Source organism: Homo sapiens, chromosome 10 (genome assembly GCF_000001405.40).
Source record: "Homo sapiens chromosome 10, GRCh38.p14 Primary Assembly".
In the NCBI taxonomy this organism is placed as follows: Eukaryota; Metazoa; Chordata; class Mammalia; order Primates; family Hominidae; genus Homo; species Homo sapiens.
In genome coordinates, this window is record NC_000010.11 from 34,121,390 (window position 1) to 34,146,576 (window position 25,187).

Below are 25,187 nucleotides of genomic sequence, written 5' to 3' on the forward strand. Positions count from 1 at the left end.
TCTGTTATGCAACGTTGTGCAACAGGCATAGTCTGAGTGAGGAATGTCTGTTTGAAACAAGTTATTGATTTTCTTTTAGAGTTGAAAGCTAATGGTAGACTTTGCCCTGATAATGATTTTCTAAAACAACAGAGTCTGAACATTCATTTGGCGAGCTGTAAGATAACAGGTAGCCTTGTTACCAAAAGAATGGCTCCTATGGTTGGCTTTGGCCAGCACAGAAAGAAATCAAGCATCATCTATTGTTCTCTTTCTGCAAAGCCAGCACAACCTTACTTGTTGATAAGCAGTAATGAAGCAATATACAGGACAAACATTTCAAAGCATATGGGCTTAGTTAGTGAGCATATTAAAAATATCCCGATACAAAAATAATGTGTGAGGAGATTAGGCTTTACAATACCCCAGTCTCTACTAGGGGCTTTATAACCACACTCACTGGAACAAATGTGTATTCAGAGACCCGCTTCACAACACCGTTCAAATAACACATCAGTGAGGCCTTCAGCAAGAAAAACACTTCGCTGAGCGAGTTCTGCTTATGCAAACAATTGTTCATCAACTGCATTAAAAGAGACAGACATTTTCTTCCATTACACTTGATGAGGCTGGCCAAAAAGGAAACTGAGCTGTTTTCTTGTCACGGTGAGCAATGGGAAGCTTGAGATAAACCACTGGACAGAAAGAAAACACTACACCATTTCCTTTACACCCTCAAAAGAACCACATTTTCCTTTCCTTTTCACTCAGTGTAAACTATATGCATGTGTCAAACAGTCTTGAAAGATCTGGCATTCTGCAGCAGGATTTAGTAACCAGCTTTTTAAGCTCGTGCTGTTCTGTGACAAGCTGCTTGTGGAGATGTGAAGGGAAATTGCAAGGTCTTGTAGAAATTTCAGGTGTATTTTTAAGTTGTTTCTCCCATAGGCCTGAAAATTTGCTTCTGACAGAGAAAAAAGAAGTTGAAGGACTTGTTTTCTCTGCTGTGTGTTTTCTGACACTGTTCGCCTCAAACTTTATCAGCTACAAGTATCTAGTTGGATCTGGATACATTCCAATGATGACATTATCAGCATATGGGGTCTGAAAACTTAAAAGGAGTGAATGAGTTTGGGATCAGCAAACTGACATATTTCATACTATCATGCTCACCAGGAAGAAACATAAACATTGGCTTCACCATTAATAGTTTACTCCATTTCTCTTTTTAGAACTTGCAAAAGGGTGGGTTACTAAACAGAATCACTCTTACCTTTAAGATAAAACCCTCTAACAGGTCACATATTTCAAGGAAGATTGCATACATGACCAGCCCAGAGCAACAACTAAATAAGTTCATCCCGGCAAGTTTGACACTTGACCTGAATAAAAATCACCCCTCTAATTCACAATTTAAATGAAGACCTCTTAAAAACAAAAACTGGATGAACAGTATTACAATGGCAATCTGGAATTTTACACACTGTGGCTTCAATCCCTATGGCATGAACAAAATAATGTATCTGAGTCCAAGCACAAAAATAAAGTGAAGAAAAGAGGTAATTTGTAACCTCACAGAGAAGTGTATGTTTTCAAATAAAATATCATCAACAACTGCAGCGACAAAGTAACACCCACATAGGGAAATACCTGCGCAGGCATAACTGTAATAACTCTGGAGATTCACCAGAGAACAAGGCGAAGCTCTGTTCTAACAGTGCAAATTACAAATAACCCTGTGATGAAATTGGTTACAAGCAATGACCTTTTAAATAAAAAAAAAACATGGCTGCCAGAGCCATAATAACAATAGAGATTGTAAGATGGAAATAAACACACGAGTATATATTACACAGGATGCTGGAGAGCCATGATATGTAAATCTCTTCATGGCCTATGTTTAAAACCACAAGTGAAAAATATGTATTTTTTTTTGTAAGTGGACTACAAAGTACTTGTCTTTCTCATAGATTATAAAGGGATAATAATTCAAGCTTGAGGAAGCTATACAATGTTGGTATCATTTAGTAGGGTAAAATATAAAAAAATATTTTCCACAGTTTTTTTTTTAAACATTTTGTTTTTATTTTAGAGTCAGAATCTTGCTCTGTTGCCAAGGCTGGAGTACAGTGGCACAATTACAGCTCACTGCAGCCTCAAACTCCTGGGCTCAAGCTGTCCTCAGTAGCCAGGACTACAGGTATGCACCACCATGCCTGGTTAATTTTTTTTTTCTTTTTAATTTTTGTAGAGGCAGGGTCTTGCTGTGTTGCCCAGGCTGGTCTTGAACTCCTGCTCTCAAGTGATCCTCCCACCTTTGCCTCCCAAAGTGCTGGAGATTACATGCTTGTAATGGTCTCATACGGTGTTTTATGAATTAAGTCTTTAAGCATTTCTCTTAATTAAATAAAATCATTGCTTCAAAATAAAAATAGAAAAAAATGAAAATACAAAACGAAATATTTAATAGACAGTTAACAGAGTAAAGAACAAACATGAATATCCACAGTACAAAGTTTCAGTACTAATTAGAACTAGGTAATACTGTAAGACTTTGACAGCTTAATATGCGAGTGTGCTGCCACTTATGAAATAAAATCATTGTTATATTAACATATACATAGAATATTCAATAATTTCAAATAATCTATCACTTTTCTTCTTATAGATAAGGAAAATAGTGTGTAAGTATGTGTGGGTGTGCACGTGTATATATATATCCACACACATATGTAATATTTTTATAAAGGATCACTTTGAGCAGATTTTCTCCTTAAATTATGAATGATAAAAATCTGCAAAATTTTGTATGTCCAAGGGCACATATAGAAAACAAAAAGTAAAATACAAAACATTCAGGCACTTTGGATGAAAACCTGTGATGAAGATGATGGTGAGAATGATGCTGATGACAAAAAGACTAATGGCATTCCCTTGAGATTCACAATCCTTACTTTAGCAATTCACATGAGCTGTGACCCTAATAGGAATTCCATATTCTGATAAGAGTAGCAATTTAAAGATTTGGTAGGGAGCAGAAATCATTTTTATGCCATTAAATCATGTGAAGAGTGTCAACTGTTGACTCTGTTGAAAAGTGGCCAGTGCTAATATTGGTAATTATTTTCTTCAGTAGACTTATGTACAACCTTTAATCAAAACAACGTTAACTTTTGTCTACCCATCGTGCCTTCCCAGCCTTCCGCACCCACCCACACATGCCATAATTATGTAACTATTGACTGAACTCTTGTGGGTCTTGAATGTTGAAAAGCTTAATTGCTCCTAAGGATGTGAGTAATGGCTGAAAAGACTGCAAAGCACACCCGTTTCCCTCATGAAGTTTTTAGAAATGAATGTTTTGGTCTTAATTGTATTTGTCTTCACCTCATCTTTCACACCAGTGCTTAGATCTTTTATCCCCGCCCCCATCTTAAGCAATAGGAACACTGAAAATAAAAAGGTTGCTCTACAAAACAAGCCAGGCACTTTAGTATCTGGGCTAATGGCAACCCAAGGTAGCTTCAGGAGTTCCTACCACACAGGGCTTCTGAGCATAGCATGGCCATGAGTCACAGAGCCTTTGGCTGAGGGACAGGTCACAGGGCAGAATAAAGTGCTGACTTTGCGACAGTACAGAGGCTCTCTCCATGTGTGATGGGCACCTCTCTGCAGATGGCTTATCTCCAGGTCTATTTCTTTCTTTTTTTTTTTTTGAGACGGAGTCTTGCTCTTGTCGCCAAGTTAGAGTGCAATGGCGTGATCTTGGCTCACTGCCACCTTAGCCTCCTGGGTTCAAGTGATTCTCCTGCCTCAGCCTCCTGAGTAGCTGGGATTACAGGCACCTGCCACCACGCCCGGCTAATTTTTGTATTTTTAGTAGAGACGGGGTTTCACCATGTTGGCCAGGCTGGTCTTGAACTCCTGACCTCGGGATCCACCCACCTGGGCCTCCCAAAGTGCTGGGATTATAGGAGTGAGCCACCGTGCCCGGCCCTCCAGGTCTATTTCTATGCGAGGTGATTTCCACCCAACTAGAGCTAGGGTCATACTCATTTCAAGGCTGTCAACTAAGGCAGCATTTTTTGAGTCAAGGCATGGAGGCCGCTAGGAGAAAATGAGAGCAGATACTTTTTAAGTCTTAAAAAAGATGGAAACGAAAGGAAAACCACCATTTTCTGAAATTGCCCAGGCACAGGGAGGCAATCTAGTGGTACAGAGTGGCTGTGTGCTATGACTGCCTTGCCAATTAAAGCAGGCAGAGCCCTAAGAGGGCAGGGAGAGCTATTAAAGTCTGAAACAGGAAAAGGGAGAAAAGGACAGATTTTGTTATTCATTGAATGACGGACAGCTAGGAAACAAGCAAGCTTGAGGGAGAAGAGGATATTCACATTGCAGAGTATCAATTTTCTACCTGAAGGACTAAACTACTTTCAGTCACTCCCAACCTGGGATGGAAAGGATTTAGCAATACAGCTATTATTAAAGGCTCCATTATCCCATCTATCAGTCGTCTCAGCCAGCAAGTCTCCTTGTTGGCAACACTCAGGTATCTGCAAAGTTTTTACGGCATACTGTACTTACGTCTGCAGCCTGCAATTTAGTTCTTTTAAAAGCAACACTAAGTCCTGTCCATATCGAAGCTCTGTGATAATAACCCTAACCTCACCTATTGTTCCATTATCTTAAGAAAGATTTAAAGCAACTTGCTGCTTTATTTATGTTGCACCTGGCACTACGTGAGGAAGAAGTTGCCTTTTCTTCTTCTCTTGCTCAACTTGGGAGAGAATTCACTTCAATTATGGAGCTAAGGAAATTTTCTGGGCCTCTGCTCATCTAAAGACCTTTTGTGCCACAAATCAGCTCCCTCAGGCCCAGACATTATTTTGAACAAAGGCCCAGGAACAGGTGCATTCTGTACTGCTAGAGCTTATAGAGAACATTTTCAAAATAGGTAGATTGAAAGGGCTACTTGGATGAATTTTCCGCAGCATCCTGCTCTGTATGTAAAGTAATTGGCTTACATATTTTTCTCTGTGACACATCTGGCTGCACTTTGTGTGTGGGCATTTCTAACAAGCATGACAATTTCAACTAATATGGGCTCAGTTGTACACACAGCTTGAAGGTGAGTTTGTGGTTCCTTAAAACTAAAATGATTACAAACCATTCCAAAGAATGAGATCATGGTCCCATCCCTTCCAAATACAGTGACCCTTCAAGGTCAGAATACATAAGAGAAGAGAAGGATTCCAAGATGCAAAAAGCTCATTTTGTAAAACAGATAATTAAAACCATAGACCAAGCTACATTTTAAACAACTGAGCAGCTCTTCCTAAGGTAACCATAAGAATTGGTATGAAAATTAATACACTAAGTAGAATTCCAGTCACTTTAAGCTCATTTACATGATCAGTAAAATAGAGCAAGATCTCAGTTTCTTGAAAATGAAAAAAAAAAAAAAAAGAAAAGGTCAACTTGTGACCCATAATTTAGGAAATGATTCCATTTCTAAGGTAATCAGCCTGTCATCCAAATAATTCCCTGCTCACTCATTACCGGAAATGCTAATACAAGCCAAGTTGTCTGTCTGAAGTTGCTATGGCATTTTGATATATAATAATGTGGTCCATGACCTTCAGTAGTTGAGTTTCCAAATGTACAAGATTTTTTCAAACATTTTCCCTAACATGATTGTTCATATTAAGTAGATAACATAGAAATGCATTCCAGCCTATTCACTGTTCCCATTCAAAGTTAAAATCTTATAAAGAAACCAAAATGAATTTCAAATCATTTTCACTTTTCCCAATGAAAAACATCTAGATACTAAGACGTAGGAAATACTCATTTAGCCTCAAACAAACCTGGAGGTCTCGCATGTGGATACAATGTCAGAAACCAGAAATAAACTCATCAATCTGAGTTCTCAAAGACATATGTCTGCTTCTCTGTTATATATTTAAAATATATTCCAATTTCAAAGAGGGGTTCTTTCAAGCCTTTTCTGACCACCGCACACTGATGTGGTCCTCACAGCTCCGTGGTTCTCAACACCCCATGCACACCCCTAGCCTACCTCTGCTATATGGTACCAAGTATTCCTTTATTTTTTATCAGTTCTACTGGAGAGTTCTGAGGGCATTTTTTCTTTTCGATCTTTGTTCTCCCATACCAACCACAATGCCTGGGACATAGTAAGAACTCAATGAATTTGATGAATTAAATAATTAGTTAAAGAGTAAATGTCAAGATGCTGGTTTGGAATCCACATTCCCAGGCAAAGTCAAATGGCGAACACTGCTCCTCATGGCATGGTATGGAGAATGATAAGCTCAGGCGGGGCTGTGCCAGGTTGGAACTGTGTGCATGTGTGTTAACTATTTCCATATTCAGCTGCTGTTTTCTCCTTCAGCTTGACACCATGCTCATTACTCTTTTCAGCCTCTTTGTGTAAATATACATAGTTAAGAATTTATCACACATCACAAAAGAATCCTGTTTCAAGAAATGTAGTAGGAATGGATTGAGTCAATTATGCCAAACAATATAAGCAGATTAACATAATTCTGTCATGTTGCTACATGGGAATGACTCAATGTACTTGATCATCTAGGAAAATGAACTAAATACCTTAGAAAAATGCCATTAATAGTAATATTGTTGCAGAAGACAATTAGAGATTTTCCAGGGAACTTGTTTTATAACCTCCCAAAGTTAGGCAAGAATTGATTTCATGAGGTGCTTTTACACCTGGATGCTGATCCCACATTGCCAGTTGCCCCATCTTCCTCACCTGAACTAAGTTAAAGCTCTTCAAACTACAGTTGACCCTTGAACACCATGAGTTTGAACTTTGAGGGTCCACTGATACACAGAGTTTCTTCCACCTCTGCCACTCTGAGACAAGACTTACTCCTTTCTCCTCCTCCCCTGCCTATTCAATCTGAAGACAATGGAGAAGATCTTTATGATGATCCACTTCCATTTAAAGAAAAGGAAATGTATGTTCTCTTCTTTATGATTTTCTTAATAACATCTTCTTTCTAGTTTATATTACTGTAAGAATACAGCATATAATACATAAAATGTACAGAGTGTGTGTTAATCAACTGTCTATGTTACTGGTAAGGTTTCTGTTCAACAGTGCGATATTAGTGCAGTAGTTAAGTTTTCGGGAAGTCAGAAGTTGCATGGGGATTTCTGATTGTGTGTGTGAGGAGGAAGGGGGATGGTCCTCCAACCCCCATGTTGTTTAAGGGCCAACGGTAGTACTGCTTCTCCCATTTTTTCCTCTTTGCCTTTGCTCCACAAAATTAATCTTCCTCAAACCCTAATTTGGTCACTAAATCCCTTAATGAGCAGCATTTATAGGTTTCTTGCTTTATGTAGAGTAATATATTGTGAGTATTGGGTTTCAGGACCAAAAAGGACCTCAGAGATCGTCTAGACTTTAGAACAGTGATTCTCAAAGTTGAACTTGTTTCAGAATGAGTTGGAAGGCTCATTAAAAACCAGATTCCTGGGCCCCACCCGTAAAGGTTTACATCTAGTAGGGTCAATGCAGGGACCAAGAATATGTATTCCTAACAAGTTTCTAGGTGATGCTAAAGGTGCTGTTCTGTGGACCACACTTTGAGAAGCTCTGATCTTCAGCAGCAGCTAACAGGATCCAGCCTCTGTAGTCAACTAGAGGGGTTCTACTTGCATCTGCTTTACATTTAGCTTCTTCTTAAACTTTCATTTCATCCAAGGGTTTAGTAACTGACATCCAATCATTTATTCTTTCTTTTCTTTTTTTTGATTCAGAGTCTTGCTCTGTCGTCCAGGCTGGAGGGCAGTGGTGCAATCTTGGCTCACTGTAACCTCTGCCTCCCGGGTTCAAGTGATTCTTCTGCCTCAGCCTCCCGAGTAGCCTGGATTACAGGCATGTGCCACCAGGACTGGATAATTTTTGTATTTTTAGTAGAGATGGGGTTTCATCATGTTGTCCAGGCTGGTCTCGAACACCTGGCCTCAAGTGATTAGCCCACCTTGACCTCGCAAAGTGCTGGGATTACAGGCACAAGCCATTGTGCCTGGCCTGCAATCATTTATTCTAATCTTGGTTGAGAGATAAGAAAACTGAGGCCGGAAGAGCCAGGCCACCTGGCTACTGGGCCAGTGTTCTTTCCTAGCACTATTTCTCTTCAAACTTTCAATCTAGCATTGAAGGCTCTTCCTACATTTCTACCTTTAATCTCCCCTTCCCTTCAACATAACCAACCTCTCAGCTGGGTAGTTTACCCTTCCTCAAATCAAATGTTCCTTTTTTTTTGTAATGTCAAGCCTCTTTTTTTTTTTTTTTTTTGAGCCAGGGTCTCACTGCAGTCCCAACCTCCCAGGTTCAAACAATCCTCCCAACTCAGCCTCCTGAGTAGCTGGGACCACAGGCATGTGCCACCACATCCGGGTAATTAAAAACTTTTTTTTTTTTTTTTTTGTAGAGATGGGGTCTCCCTATGTTGCCCAAGCTGGTCTCAAACTCCTGGGCTCGAGCAATGCTCCTGCCTTGGCCTCCCAAAGTGTTGGGGTGATGGTATGAGCCACCATGCCTGGCCTCCAGCCTTTTATAACACCATTCTTCCTTCTGTCCTACTCTTCCAAATATCTAGTAAATGATATTCCCAACACTTTGTCTGAACTGAACTTGTCAACTTTATGGACACTAATCTCCGCTCTACTTCTGTAACTCACGTGCAAAGATGGCAGGCCTTAGACCTCAACATCGTCTGAACTATCGCCTCTACTTCCAAGATCCTAGAGTCCAAAAAATACACTGTTTTGACCACAACTTCCTAGGCTTGAGAACCCCTAGATCCTGAGCCCTCTTGCACACTGCTAGGCTGTGAGGCTAATCCTTCCTTGAGCTATACTTGCCACCCCACCTGGACCACACGATGCTTCCCCAGTATCCTTGGTAGGACTCCAGCACCTCCCTTGGCTTTCTGCCATGTCTATCTTCCAACCCCCACTAAAGAATTAATCCACAAATTTATTCCTTCTATTCCCAGTCTTCTAAGCATTGCCGGTTAGGTCAAATTACCATGCTGCCTGGACTTCCTAATACCCCATGCTAGAGTTTCCTACCTTAAGCAGCTTATTTATTCACCTCTAACAGACTCACTCTCAAGTCTCCCAAAGAAATTCTTCAAACTCCCCATCATCTCAAAAAATCTGTCCCAACCCCTCCACTCTCAGAAGTGCTGTCATCTCTAGGGTGAGACACAAGATCAGAACACAGTTCTGGCACTGAGAAAGCCATCTGAAGTTTTTTCACTCTGGTGGCTATGAGGGGGATGAACTGGAATAAGATGGATTCAACAAACACACATGGGGGGTGCAAAAGATTAAAGAATCAAGAATTACTAGACCTGGCACAGTGGTTCACAACTGTAATCCTGACACTTTGGGAGACTGAAGAATGAGGATCACTTGAGCCTAGGAATTTGAGACCAGCCTGGCCAACATAGTGAGACTCAGTCTCTACAAAAAACTAAAAAATTAGCCAGGTGTGGTGGCACTTGCCTATAGTCCAGCTACTCTGGTGGCTGAGGTAGGAGGATTGCCTAAGCCTAGGAGTTTGGGGCTGCAGTAAGCTATGATCGCACCACCGCACTCCAGCCTGTGTGACAAAGCGAGACCTCATCTCTTTAAAAAAAAGAATTACTAAACACTGTACTTTGTACATTACAGGCACAATGGAGAAGTGCTGAACAAATTAATTTTGGCTCTGATTCTGAGAATATGTATCTACAGAAAAATATTTACTAAATTTAAAAAATGCTTAGTTGAGAGTGAGAATACTTTTGCTATGTCTTGTCATAAGGCTAGTGAAACCTATTAGGCAATGGACAGATGGTGGAACAAGATATAAAATGAAATTAGCAATGATGAAACCCAGATGGAAATGAGGAAAAGGTCAATATGTTAAAGGTCAAAGGAATTTGGCTCCATCTTGTCTCGTTTCATAGAGCATTGAGGTCATAGCTTAGTGGCCTTTGCTGCAGGGAAGTTGTAGGACCATTCACCGTGCTGAAGAACCAATTACTTACCCAGGGTTGCTCAAAACTATAGGTCCGCCGACGATCTTCTACATCTTCATCTTGCTTTGCTTGCTGAAATTCTTGCCTCAGACGCTGTATCCGATCATGATTGCTAGGAGTTGATCTGTTACTGAAAGAGAGATGAGGCAGCAGTGAATACCCTTCAGAAATATTATCTGTGAACTGCAGTTGCTAGCAAAACATGGCAACTTGCTGTGAAATGACGCCATTTAAGAGAAAGTGAATTTTTAAAACAATATGTGGGCATTTAAAATATGTTTTCATTTTGGTTTTAGGATTAAGGCTTATTGAGGTATTTTAGACAGATATTTGAGAGGGTAAACAATATTTTTAGATATTCTTTTTTTTTTTGCACTGTTCTTTAAAAGTTTCATTTCCTTTCTGTAATCTGGCAAGGTGTTGGCAGGGAAGTTTTTTTGGAAAGGACATTGCATTAAAAGTCAGAAACAACAGGGTCTGGTCCTAGCTTCTGTACCTTCTTAGACTAACGTACTTAATGTTTCTAAGCTGAAGTTTTTTAAATATATGAAGTAGAGATAATAATTTTACTCTAAATATCTGAGTTGTAATAATCAAGTGAGAGGACACCATGAAATATAGCTGCACAAATGCACAGCAATATTTTCATAATACGAGGTTCCTATTTATGAGTCATCAGAGGTCTATAAATAAAATGCAATTCTCACAGCAAAAATGAAAAACATTTTAAAAATAAGTTCAAGTGGTAGTTTCATTTAACCATCTAGTTAATAACAATACGGCCTTCTTTTTGTATAGTATTGAATTTTGTTTTATTCTCAGAAATACCTTATAAGATAGGTGCAGAAGGTAGTATTTCACACACCCACCCACCCACCCACCTACGCACACGTTTACAAATGTAGTAACTGACATTTAAAGAAGATAAGTGGTTCATTTGGGGATCTCCCAGCTGGCCAGTGGGGAAAGTGAGACCAAAATCCAGATTTTCTGGCTCCCAGTCCAACCCTCATTTCACTATGCCATGCATATCACTTTGTAAAACATGTATCAGGCTCCAAAGCTCTTCATTTGTAAAGTACAAATTTTAAAAAGAGTATTTTCGCCAAGAGTAATAGAGATTGATGACCAAAATTAAATCAATCATAAATCTCACAGCACTTTTGGTCTATGCCATTCACTAAAGCAGTAAGTTTCATCCTATCAGTGACGTGGACGGGAGACAGGGAAATACTGGGTAGGAGAGGGCGGTTCCTCAGCAAAGGTCCCACCCTCAGAAGTCTGGAAACCCATAACCCTAAATGGGAACAGGCATTCCTGTTTTTGCACCCAAAAGTTGCCTTTTTGGCCCACCACGCCCCCCTATCCTGCACCCATATAAACTGCAAACCCCAGGCTCCATGAACAGACAAACAGAAGGGCAGAAGAGTGGCAGAATGGTGCGGCAGAGAAGGGAGACGAGAAGGAGCATCTGAATGTCAAGAGGAGTTTGGCTGGGGATGGCTGGAGAGGAGACTGGGCCACTGGATGGCCAAACTCCAGGGGAAGATCATCTTCCCACCCCATCCCCTTTCCAGCTTCCCATCCATCCCACTGAGAGCCACCTCCATCACCCAATAAAATCCCCACATTCACCATCTTACAAGACCCTGTGGGACCTGATTTTTCCTGGATGCCAGACAAGGGCCTGGGTACCAAGGGGGGCACTGGGCTGGTTAACACTTAAGCCATCTGCAGACAGGAGAGCTAAAAGAGCACTGCAACATGCCCACTGGAGCTTCAGGAGCTGCAGGCACCCACACCCAGACACTACCGTGGGGCTGGAACCCCGGCTCCCGTACCTGTACATCTGCATGCTCCCCCTCCCCTAAGGGGTTTGGGCACACACAGCAGTCAAATAGACAAGCCACACACCCCTGCTGCATGTCCTGTGAGGGGAGTCAGGGAACTCTCTCATTTCATCAGGAAAGCTATTCAAGCCCATCAGGCATCTACTGCCTCCACAACAGAACGTCAGACTTCTTGAGGACAAGAACCACATCTTCTTCTTATCATATATACCCTCCAAGCTGCTAGCAGAATGGAAAGCTGCAAAGCTATTCGGAAGATCAGGTCTCTTCACAAAAGCATGTTGCCCTGGTTACTCAGTGTGTGCCAGGGTTCTGCTGGCTGCACCCCTCCTGCGTGATGTGATTTGTGAGAGGTAGCTTGGAAAGAGAAATTCTGTCACAGTAGAGTACGTAAAATTCTCAAACGGACATAAGTCTACATATAATTCCACATATTTTGAAGAATCTCAAAGGTTTAAGCATCTAAAATTGAACATGTTCATGTACAGGATCATCATGTTAACATCTTCTAAAAATATGGAATAGTCTTTCATCATTTAACATATTGGGAGGGGCCCCTGTACCTTCATGTATCAATTTCACTAGAGCTTCTAGAATATACTGTCAATACATTCAATTTGATTATTTTCTCAGTCAATAAAAGCTTGTCTTTCTTTGCTTTTCTTCTGACAAATCTGAACTGATTGGCCTGGAACATTAAAGGTGAACAGGTCTGTAAATTGGGCTGCTTGACGACACAAGGCTTCAGTCCACGTCACTTCAAAATGTCCCTCCACACTTTTGAGACAGGCAGGTTGTTATTCCTACTGGCTTTAAAAATATATAGTGTCCTATATTGTTGCACTGTCCAATCTAAAAAGCACTCTGTTCTTTATGTGAAACCGTAATGGTGTAGGCATGAGTGAGGATGGTTACCTTCATAAGACAAAAGAGACAGGAAAGTGGGCATTCCCGAATCTCACTGTCATTTTTCCACCTGTGCTTTTTTGTTCCTGGCATACTTTATAGCTTTTATGGGAGGATTATAGGAGGTTTGACTGACAAAGTATTTTACAAATCTAACCAGAAGTATTCTTCTGTTATTTTCATGCAGCACAGAGAGTTTTAAGCCCATAATTATTAGGATCATGAAGTTGAAACCATTGATAAAAACTGACCTCCTACTATTTGCAATTCACTGAAAGTCTGTTTTCCCGACAAAGGGAGTTGACCGAGTATCCTCAATGTTAAATTCTGGTGACACTGGTGTTTTTCACAGCAAAAGATAAGTTCTGGAAGTCACTCCTGCCCTTGTTTCCAAATCTGGGGAGCTAGGCAGACCTTTGGTTTCACCCCCTTTTCCTCTGCTCTTTCTCTCCCAATACTCTAGAGAAAGCTGGCTGACTTGTCTAAGACTGGCAAAACCACTTAATGGCTGAAGTTGGAAAACAGGCTGCAATGGTTTTCATGATGGATGATGATTTCCAAAGACTGGAAGACCGTCAAGCCCCCTTGGGGAACAACAATTGGCAGTCTGAAGGTGAAATTCTGGCTTTGAGAGATGAAACCATTACAATTGCTCAGTTCTGTCTCTCTGGCCAGTCTATAATGAGCCAATAATTCAAATTTGGACTTTTAAAGTTCTTGGTGAGCTCTTCTGCCAAGAAAGCTAAAGGAAATTTTAAATATTCATTAGCAATAGTGACTCATCCCTACACATCCTAATCAACTTATATTTAGGTTCACTGCCAACTTAAAGTTGGTCATGATTTTTTTGTGTGAGAAATATAATAAAAATACCATCCAAGTTGATCAGATGGGTGAGACAATAAAACCCTTAATGAAGAGTCAGAAATCCTAATTTACAGATAGTCCACATGAGTGGGATCTACACAGGGATGCTGAGAGGAACAGAGAGATACTTTCTGTATAAAACATCCACACAGACAGCTATAAGACAGTTTTAGTCCAATACCAACACTCAGCCTCCACCAACACATTGGCTTTGTACCCAACTGGAACTTAATTTCACGTTCTAACTAAATGAAGAGGGTTTGCTTTTGGTTCAGTAATGATCTGGGTTTTGGTTTTTGTTGTTTTTTCCTGACAGGTTTAAGGAAGGGTACCTAGGATCACACACTACAGAGATTCCTAGCCCAGCGTGCACAGAACTATGTGACCCTGAATTATATGGAACGTCCATAATTACTACGGGGATTGCAGTCTTTGATGTCAGAGGCAGACCATGCGGTGTACAAGGCTTCTACATCTTCAAATTGGATACTACTATGTGCTTCCTGAATGTGGCTAAGGATACCCATTCAGGCTAAAAGGAGCAATGAGCCTATCTGCAGGGAATCACTGAAGCCTGCCCCGCACCTGTGCCCCACAGGCAAGCCAACTCAACCACTTCCTTAGGTACGATGAGAGGGAACAGAAACCTTACAACAGCGGTTCTCATCTATATGCACTGTGTATATGAGAACCATTCAAAGAGCTTGTTAAAAAAATACTGATTGCCAAGGCTTGCCTTGAGAAATTCTGAGTCAGTCTAGTGCAGGGCCCAAGAACTTACACGTATATGAATTCAGAACATACTGCAGGTATATGGACAACACTCTGAAGATAATGCCTGCAGTTAGTAGACTACTGCCATGAAGGGATGCTGGCCTGGTGTTGCTTCTTATTTAAGAGAAGCTAGAAAGACAGCTTTCTCTCCCAAATTTAAAATGTTCACTTACTTTACTTTTGAAATTCTAGGTAAGCCAAATAACAATTTTGTCCATTGTTGGCTAGCCTGTAACCACTGGTTCACATTCTGCAGACGCTGCCTATTTTATCTGTCGCTTCTCCAGGCTATTTACTTTCATTGCACCAAAATAATAAGGCTGGTGGTGCTCTAGTAACAGTCCCCCAAAATATGTTAAAACTGATAACCAGGCACTGTCCAGATAGTCTTGTTTCTCCTAAACTGTCCCCTCCTTCCCAGCTGCCTAAGCCTGAACCTGGGTATCCTTCCTTGCAGGCTTGAAGTCTCACCTATCTATTCAGAGCAGTATATGCTGAAAGAGAGGAGTTTGTGATGTGACTGATTAATTCTTCATGGATTAAAAATGCTTTAACATTTGCATTTTTAATTATGCAAAAGGAATCTGGAAACCTGGAAGAGAGTAGTTTTAAGATCCAGAATTCAATGGAAAGGAGAAGTAACCACTCTTTTTTTAAAGTAAGGTGGTCTCGGTATACACTATGCTTCCCATAGCAGGGGGGAGAAAAGGAAGAGAGAAGGTAGACAGGAGGAGGAAATGAATTGTGGCAGGCTCTCCACATTGTTCAGAAGGCAGAGATGATTATAAACTCTGGTACAGGAGAAGAAAAGCTGCCAAAGAAGAGAGGAAAATACAGTCGCTCAGGTTTTTCTTTCTTTAATACCCTCTTCTTTCCCTTCCATCTTTCCAAATTCTACCAGTAAGTCTAAGACATCAATCCACTTCCTTGCAGCCTTTCCTCACTACTCCAGCCCATGTTCATCTCTTCCTTTCAGTTCACCTGTAATTGTCCCCTGACCCAAATACTGACTTACAGAGTTTACCAGAATCGGCATGTGTATGGGCTTTTCTCTCTTAGGTTTGTGCCTTCATCATAGCCATTCAACATGTACATATCTTGTATGTCACTTCCCTGTGGCAGAACAAATTGATCAGCAAATATTTGTGATGGATGGATTTAAGGTGGCCCTAATGTCCACACCTTCTGGGGTTCACACCTTTATGCACTCCTCTACCCTTGAATGTGGACAGAACCCACACTTGCTTTTTTTAAGATTTAATTTGATTTTAAGTGCCAGGATACATGTGCAGGATGTGCAGGTTTGTTACCTAGCTAAACGTGTGTCATGGTGGTTTGCTGTGCACTTGCTTCTAACCAATGAGAAATGCAGCAGGGATCACGCAGTGTTTGTGGTTACAATCGTGGTGTCCCTCTTTATGCCTCTGTCTCTCTCCTTGCTGGTACTGAAGTCGCAAGGAGCCAAGAATCCCACAGCTGCATGGAACACAATGCTGTCAACAATGACGGAAGCAGGGAAGCTGATATTTCCCTAGTAGAAGCCTCTGTGTGAGAACCCAGTCTGGCTGACTCCTTGATTGCACCCCGAGGGAGACCCTGAGCAGAGGATCCAGCTCAGTCATGCTGGAACTCCAGGCCCACAGACACGGTGATATAATCAATATGTGTTGTTTTAAGCTGCAAAGTTTGTGTTACTTTGTTTTGTAGCAAAAGAAAACGAACACTCCATTGTTGTTGGCCTTGGCCATGTGACTTGTTTTGGCCAACAGGATGTTTGTGGATGTGACACAAAAGGAGTTTGAAACTGATTGTATGCTGGGTGTATTCTTTGTGCTCCTGACTTCTACCATAACAAGAACATGCCCACAGTCTAAGAGACACATGGAGTGAATATGAATCCAACCTGCAGCTTATAAGTCAAGCCCAGTGGAGCCTGGCCTAGATCAGCCAACCCCTAGCCTCTCTGTAGATGTCTGAGCAAAAAATCAATGCTTGTTATTAGAGGCCACTAGGTTAGGCAATTTGCTATGTGACAGCACTGCAGCAATAAACGTTCTAGACCTCCCTCCTCAGACCGCCCCCACACCAATACTACCACCCCATCACTTTAAACAGCATTATGGGGGCTGTACATTCTTGTTAAATTCAAGGAAATAAAGTATGGATGGATTTAAGGTGGCCCTAATGTCCTAGAAACACATAGGCCCTGCCCACAAGTGGAACCAAACAAATGGTGCTTGTTGCAAAAGCATGTTGTTAGAAGAGTGGAATCAAAGACAGGCATCACATTTTACGAGCGAGTTTTACCATGATCATTCATAGAATTAGTCACTGCAAAGTTCTGGTCTCTGGGAAAAATTGCACAAAGTAAATACTATTGCAGAAGATGTAACTGAAAAATGCTCACTGCCAGATCTTAATACATGAAACCAATCAAATGTGCTTTCCAGTGAATACCAGTCTATAGTCAAGAATGTCCCATGGAAATCTATTCAATTGCTTAGGGTGATACCTTTTGTCGACCTCCCCGCTACTGCACCCAAAACACCTCACTAGGGCTCTGTGATCTCTGAAAGTCAGCCTCCTGAGAGACCAAGGCAAGAATGTGAGTGCTTTCCTGGAGCCTGGTGAAAATATACCTGCCAACCAGGTGATTCGGTAAAACTGAACTCAAGGGCTCATTACTGGTTTCTCTTTCTGGCAGAGATTGATGACCTGCTGGGATCTGGGTCAAACACACAACTCACAAAAAGGTAATCCCTGTTAACATTTGATTTACTTAGTTTGCCAAGAGCTCAGGACTTAAAAGATGCCCCTTCAAATCCACTACTTACAAAAGCACAGGTACATGGTAAAGATTTTTTGTTAACCATATCAGCTTATATCATTTGGCCATTTTCTTTTTGCTATCTACTTCTCAGCCCTAGCAATTTACTTTTTGGCCTATGTACAAAATTCTATTCCAAATGCTAGTGAATTTCACACCTGCACTTGGCATCCAATTACTGCAGATGAAAAAGGAACATTATTCTTTTCCCAATTAAAAAAAAATTCAAAAAGTTAATTTCCAAATTGTATCAACAATCCTGGAAATAATGCAATACCACACTCCAAAAAAAAAAAAGAAAAAAGCTTTTTCCTATTGATACATTTCTATCACTCAGACAGTTTTCCCATGTACACATCACAGGGCAGAAAAAAATTCTATAGTTCTGCTAGCTGCCAAGCTCTCTGCTTAAGAAAATCTTTTCTCTTTCACCAGCCAGCATTCAAAGTCCTACAACTTAAGAAACATCATCATGGTCTGCATCTCAGCACACATAGAAAGGAGAAGATAGTAGGTTAAAGCTTCTAAGACTCAATTCACTTATACTCAAAGATCCTATTTTCTTCAACCCTGACTTTTCCAAGCCTTGATGATGTCCTTGGGTAACAACTCAATCTTCACAGGAGGTTCTTGCACTTCAGTCCCCTCATTTAAGAAAAATTTATCTCTTTACTAACTTCCTTCATAGTTCCACAAATGGAAGAACTCAAGATCCAGCCCATTAGTAAAAAACCCACTTTCCAAGAACATTGTTTCATCTTCACTGGAGAAAAATGAGAGCACTTTTTCCTTCCTTGCCCAATTACTAATTCTTCTTGTATCCTGGGAAAAAAATAATCTGGGTTATTTTACTTGTACCAATGGTTAAGTCCAAACTTCAGCTATTTCATGGATGTCATTTAAAGCAGACACCAGGACTGGAGTAGGCAAAAAGTGACTCCGGGAGAAACAGATGTAGGGCAGACCTGTCATGAAGCCGTAGTAACAGGCAGCCAGCAGTGACCACCAGCGTCTCAGATCATTAAGCAATGTCTTACTGTGATGTCATCCATGGATGTACAGAGTTGTAATCCTTTCAAAACAGACAGACTGTCAGCATGACAAAGTGGATACAAACAAGTTCTTGAACTGGGATGACTAAAGCATTGGGGGGATAAATGTCACTGAACTAAAAAGGGATCCTATGATACAGAACTACCAGATATTGACACCATTCAGAGAGGCAGGTAAACAACCTGCTTCCCACTTAGATATTTTTCTATACTGATTAGCAATTCCATAAAATATGCCTGATCTCTAGATAAATAGTTCTAATCTACAGATGTCAGAACTGAGTTCTTAATTGCTGTAAATTAGTGAGCAAACACAGGTTTCTCATTAAACCCATTACACCCCGTGTGTTAAAATGGAACACTTGTCATTTGCTTTTGTTTTTCGTTGTTTTTTTTTTAGAATATTTTTCTCCTGGCTCTCAAATCAGGAGCATTCTTGATAAAATCCTAGATAAAAACATTGAAGCAGAGAGACATGGTCAGGATATGTGTGGCAGGTTCCTGCCCCTTGAAGTGTTTCTTCTTGGAGAAAAAACCTTTAAATGGCAATGGATTTGTCTAAATTTTAATGATGAGCAGTATTATGCCTTTATCTTTGCTTTCTTAAGAAATAGTAAATTGATGTCACCCCCTGTGAAAGCGTTTGCACGTTCTCCCACGGTACCTGTTCAAAGCACACGGTGTGCCTCCTGTCACCTGTATCACCTGTACAGTTTGTGAAAAAGTATTAATCGCTAAATTAAGAGAGAAGGGAAAGAACAGACTAAAATGTCACAGAAAAGCAAACTGTGAACTTTCAAATTAGTTAAGCATGAGGCCAAGCTGGCTAAAAAGACTGTGGCTATTCACTATGGCTCTATCTCTCAGGCTGGAAGACTTATGAGGAATGGAGGAAGGGTGGGAGGGTTAAACCAAGAAATGTATCAATTATCAAACTACAAATAAAAATAGCTCCTCTGCGCAAGCTTCATTAAGTTTTATCAGCAAGTATCTTGGGGTTTTACACTCAAATCACAGGTCATAAATTCACAGTAAATCCCCCATATGTTCACCAAACACCTGAATTCAATTTCTCTTCTGGTTGTGAAGTAGGAATGTGGTGCCCACATTAATTATGCATGCAAAGTTAGTTTCTAACAAGGGCCGCTTTTTTTGTGATGCTTCAGGGTATTTATAACATCTGAAATTTTGGGATGGATCCTTCTTTAATCTTACCACTTGTATACTGGTATGTAAGTCTAAACTCTCTTTTCCAAATTTGAACATTGAAAAAAATTATAGTTGGTAAATATCTTGTTATAGTCTTTGCATTTTTCTATGATAATCCCAGACATTTATGATATTGCACAAATGGTCTTGATACTGACTTTGAGGTTTTTAGACAAATATTTCTGTGGTTATGTACAAATCACCCTGAATTATAGAGAAAGTCTAAACTGAGGCTAAGTGGCTATATTTATATGTGTCTATGTATACATGTGAAATTAACTACTTAGGAAATATCATGTCATTTTCAGTTTATTTTCACAGTTTTACTCATCATCTGTAATATAAAAAGAATTATGAGAAACTCATGCAAATCCCAAAGGTACTCACTTTGCTCAGCTGATAAAATTCATTTCCAGATTCTGACACCCATGATTTGTTGTCCATTTCACACCAATTTCAGTGTAATAAATCATAACAAATTAAAAACATACAGCTATGCTCTCTGGGTTAAAAAGGTGGTCTCCAAAGCTGTTAATCCTGCATTTGCTTCTGATGTGATAGCTCCAGTTCTCCAGATGCTTTATGGATCACAGGGAGGTCATCTCTCCATCGGAAAGCCTCAGGACTAGATCTTACTCCAAGTCCCTCTGTGGTCTCTGGGTAACAGGACTATCATTTTATAAGCAACAAAACCTCAGGAATGTACCCCTCGCCCTATTTTATTACTTTCATCACTCTTCCTTATTAGCTTGTCATTGGTCTCAGGCAGGAGTAAGAAAAATTTAGTTTTACTTTTTGAGGGGAAGTCCTCCAGCAACAGAGAACATGCAAGCGCAAAGACATACATAATTTCAGGACCCAGCAATAAATACACACAAGAAAGCCCTAGGTAGCTGATCTTACCTAGTGTCACAAAAATGATCCAAGCTGGTCTCTACTCAAAAGGACAGCTGAATCTATCACAGCCATACCTCCAATGGGGCATCTACTGAAAACTCAGCACTAAAGTAACACTGCTTAGCAAGTTTTTAAAAATTATCATTGTCAAACTAATTATCAAGGTTTTGGTTTAAGAAACCATATTCGAATAAGAGTGACTATTGTGAGAATGTGTGTTAAGAGCTTTAAACCTCAAAGATGGTGGACTTCCTCAAGACCCTGTGAGGTACGTGGACAAAGGGCAGGGGCTGAGGTCTGGGCCTCCCAAGTCTCTTGACTCCCTAGCAGGCAATCTTAACATAGATTTAAGCAAGTAAAAGATGAGAGAAAATGTTTTCGGGGTATACCTATGAATTTAAATGCACTTTAGAAAATAAAATGTTGGCTGGGTGCCGGGGCTTATCCCTGTAATCCCAACACTTTGGGTGGCCAAGATGGGAGCATCGCTTTAGCTAGTAGTTTGAGACAAGCCTGGGCAACATCGCAAGACCCCATCTCTAAAAAAAAAAAAATTAGCTGGGTGTGGTGGTGCGTGTAGGCCCAGCTACTTGGAAGGCTGAAGCAGGAGAATTGCTTGAGCCCAGGAGTTTGAGGCTGCAGTGAACCATGATTGCACCACTGCACTCTAGCCTGGGTGAAAGACCGAGACTCTGTCAAAGAAAAAGAAAGAAACAAAGAAAAGAAACAAGGGAAAGGAAAGGAAGCGGGGGGCAGGGAGGGAGGGAGGAAAGAAGGAAAGACGGATGGAAGGAAGAAAGGACGAAGGAAGGAAGGAAGGAAGGCAGGAAGGCAGGAAGGCAGGCAGGCATCATTTTTCTTGGCACAATGCAAGAAAGCAGTTATAATGGTTAATGCCCAAAGTGCACTTACTTTTCATAGTGTGATTTTCTTGAATTCTCTAACAAATGGCAAGGACGTGTAAGGGATTCTAATAGGTTAGAGAACTGAAGAAAGTTTGTGGATTATATTATTCATTCAATAAAACCACTGGGGATACAAAGTTCAGCCAGTTGTGACCCACAGTTGAAGTCTGTGCCTCAAACTAAAATATACATTTAGGTGTCTGATTAAAGAGCAAATGAAATTCAATGTTACAGGTGAAAAATCTTGACAAACTAAAAAGAGTGAAAAACAGGAATACATTATAAAAATTTGAAATAAAGGCTGGGGGCGGTGGCTTATGCCTGTAATCCCAGCACTTTGGGAGGTCAAGGCAGGTGGATCACGAGGTCAAGAGATCAAGACCATCCTGGCCAACATGGTGAAACCCTGTCTCTACTAAAAATATACAAATTAGCTGGGTGTGGTGGTGCATGCCTGTAGTTCCAGCTACTTGGGAAGCTGAATCGCTTGAACCCAGGAGGTGGAGGTTGCAGTGACCTGAGATCGTGCCACCGCACCCCAGCCTGGCAACAGAGCAAGACTCTGTCTCAAAACAACAACAACAACAACAAAAAACTGAAATAAAAAGGCAATGGAAATTAAATTACAAAACCTGATGGGTTTTGATGACACAATAAAATGATTATCATGTTCTTCTTCATATTAGAAAGGTTTTATCATTCAGGCATAGAAACTAATTATAGAACCATTATTTTAATTCTTTAATCATGAAATGATTACAAAGAATTCAAGGCGAACATTTTCTTTGTTTTTGCTTTCTGTCTTTAATGACAGCATAATTGCAAAACACTATACGAAACTAAGCTATGTTTTTTTAAAAGAAAAAATTCCAGTGCAATGCAGTACTTAATTCCAAATCATGTCATAATTCTAAATCATGGCTAAATTCTACAGACTTTCTTGAAATGACTCAGAATATTAAATAATGTAACAAGAGATATATCACCTGTAAGTTTCATAAGAGGCTAACTCTGAAACTTCTTTGAGAATTAGAATAAAAGTAGTGAAACATACATCTAATAACCAGTTTTCTAAAAAGAAACCATTAATGAAGAGTTTGTATTACTGTTTTTAAAACATTTTAAAGATCATTAAAATATTCTTCCTGATTGATTTTTTTACTTCTATTTATGCTCTTGATGAACTTCATAATTATTCATTAATAATTTTCTGAGCTTTTTTTTCTATTTACAACTTGGCCATTATTTATCTGGAGAGAGGGAATAAATGACATAGAAATGTTAATTAATTTAACTTCTCATTTCAGATTTAGTTAAATTATTATATTAGGAAAACAAAAACAGTGTGACCATATTGGTTTGGAGTTATTGATAGATTTTGAAAACTGGAGTTATTGACAGATTTTGGAGTTACTGATAGATTGTGAAAGGGCTTGCAACATTCTTTTGTCAATTACATTTTTTTTTCAAAGTAATACTACATGTGCATAGTTTATATTTTAAAATGCTAAAAGCCTTAAAAGAATCATTAAAAGAAACTTCTTAAATGAAACTTCTGCTTCATCACATCTTGTCTCTCTGACCACCCAACCCCAAGACTTTTAAAGCTTTCAGTCGTTTTCTATGACATTTCTTTTTAACTCAACCTGAGATACTCAGAATGAATCCATTGTAATTCCTGGTTTGTGATACACTCTTGCTAGTGATGGTTTCATTGCTTACTTTCATTTAGTTATGATGAAAGTGCCATGCTCAATATTATTAAATGTAAGTTGCCAGTATGAATCTATTACACAAAGCAAAAGCTAGGAATTTAATAATAAGCCATGTCTAACCAAATTCCTCTGGTATTTAGACATTTCTGGGTAATATATTTATATCACTATCTCCTGATTTATTACTGTTAAACACACCTGTTGACTTCCTACAAAGGTAGATGAAGCATTAGCTCTCTTACACTCAAATCCAAATTCTGACTCCAAATTCCCATCTTCCACATCTTCCCAATATAATTATAGCAAAATTTATATGAAAATGATTTTACAATCTGATTTTTCAGATTTCCAGGAGAACAAGTCTATCATGGCTTATTAAGCCCAATTTTTTTCCTGGAGCCCTCTAACCTCAAAAGCTCCCACCACATACGCCAATCTAGGCTGCCTGCTTCCTGGTTTTCTGCACAGCAGAAGTCCTGGGACTTGTTAAAGCACACATTCGGTGGCTGCCTAAAAGGGTATTAGAACTAAAATATTTTGCGTTTGCATGCTTTAAATGTATGTATTCTATCATTACCACTCACTGACAGTTTGGCTAGGTATGGAATTTCAGGTAACAAAACATTACCCTTCAATATTTGAATGTGTTGCTCTATTATCTTCTAGCTTACAAGACTGATGTGAAGAAATCTGATTATATTCTGATTCTCAACTCTTCATTGTGTGTGTGTGTGTATATATATATATATATATATATATATATATATTTTTTTTTTTTTTTTTTTTACAGGATCTTCTCTTTCTGGTATTCCAAAACTTCACAATGCTGTCCTTTTTGAAAAATTGATTTTGCTCAGCACTAGGTGATTCTTTAATCTGGAATCTTAAGTTCTCCAGTTCTGGAAAAGATTCTTGTGTTATTTCTCTAATAATCTATCCTTTATTATCTCTGTTCTCTCTTTCTAGAAATTGTTTTCTTTAAATATTGGACCTCCCAGAATGAACTTTTCACTTCCTTTCTTTCTCACTATACTGCTCTTTGTCCTATAGCTCATGTTTTCCTTTATGGGAAACTTCTCAACCTCATCTATCAAGCCTTCTATTGTGTTTCTTAATACTGATATTGTATTTATTATTTTCTAAGAGTTCTTTCCCATTTACTCAATAATCCTTTCAATAGCCTCCTGTTCATCTTTGATGGTTTTAACATCATTTCTATTTCACAGAATTACTGTTTATAATTCCTTAATATTTTTCTCTTCTCTTAATTTTATGTTTCCTCCAAGTTCTTAAAGAAAACAAACAAACGTTGTTTGTTTTGGACTCTGTCTTCCACAATTATGGCTTTTCTGAAATGTTTCACATGTTTTTCTGCCCTTTTATATTTAAGAGTGAAGCACTAAAAAGCAGATTAGTCACTGTGTGCTTCAGGGGGGTTTATGAAATGGTGGACAGGAAGGCTGGGCAGAGTGTCACTTTTTTGGTTGGGAATTCTCATGACAGTGTATGTGGACTCCTTTTCCAGGGCAATTCCATGTCTTCCGAAGAGAATCTAGCAATCTTTGGTGCGGGGTGCATAAGCTTGATTCTTGACATTCCAGTGTGATTCTGTCATTCTATATTAACTATGTCCATTTTCACAAAAATAGAGTTACTATTTCTATATCTCATTCTGTTTCTTGTTTTGGAGTGATTTCCAAAAGGAAAAGAGGAAGAAATAGCTTTACTCTCTAATGTTAGACTTTCTAATTTCTGTTATTCTTAATTCTCAATTATTTTCAAATAGCTTAAATGTCTTTTCAAGAATAAAACTGGTATATGGATGCTTATATATTTTTTTAAGTAGACGAAAGACATGGATGTAAATGTTCCAAAATGGTAACAGCTATTGGTTATAATTACAGAATTATGTCCACCACTTCCTAACACACTTTAGGAATAATTTCTGTATTACTTTTTTACAATATTTATGGTTAATTTAGGGAGTACATTTTTAAAACATTGAGTTTGTAATCTACAAAGCTCCAAATACAAATACTGTTTTAAAGATTTAACCGAGTCCTCCACACTTTTTCTCCCAAGCACATGACCTGGTGCTATACTCAAACTAGTTTTCCTTTC

General features: G+C 39.4%; 1 protein-coding gene across 8 annotated transcripts in view; it reads right to left on the reverse strand.

Annotated features, from left to right (window-relative positions):
* PARD3 (par-3 family cell polarity regulator) overlaps window positions 1-25,187 on the reverse strand; it is a 705,736-nt gene that overhangs the window by 11,829 nt on the left and 668,720 nt on the right. For all 8 annotated transcript variants that reach the window (NM_001184790.2, NM_001184791.2, NM_001184789.2 and 5 more), the window contains one exon: window positions 10,074-10,194. In NM_001184790.2, coding sequence (NP_001171719.1) covers window positions 10,074-10,194 — 121 coding nt within the window. The remainder of the gene's footprint in view (window positions 1-10,073; window positions 10,195-25,187) is intronic.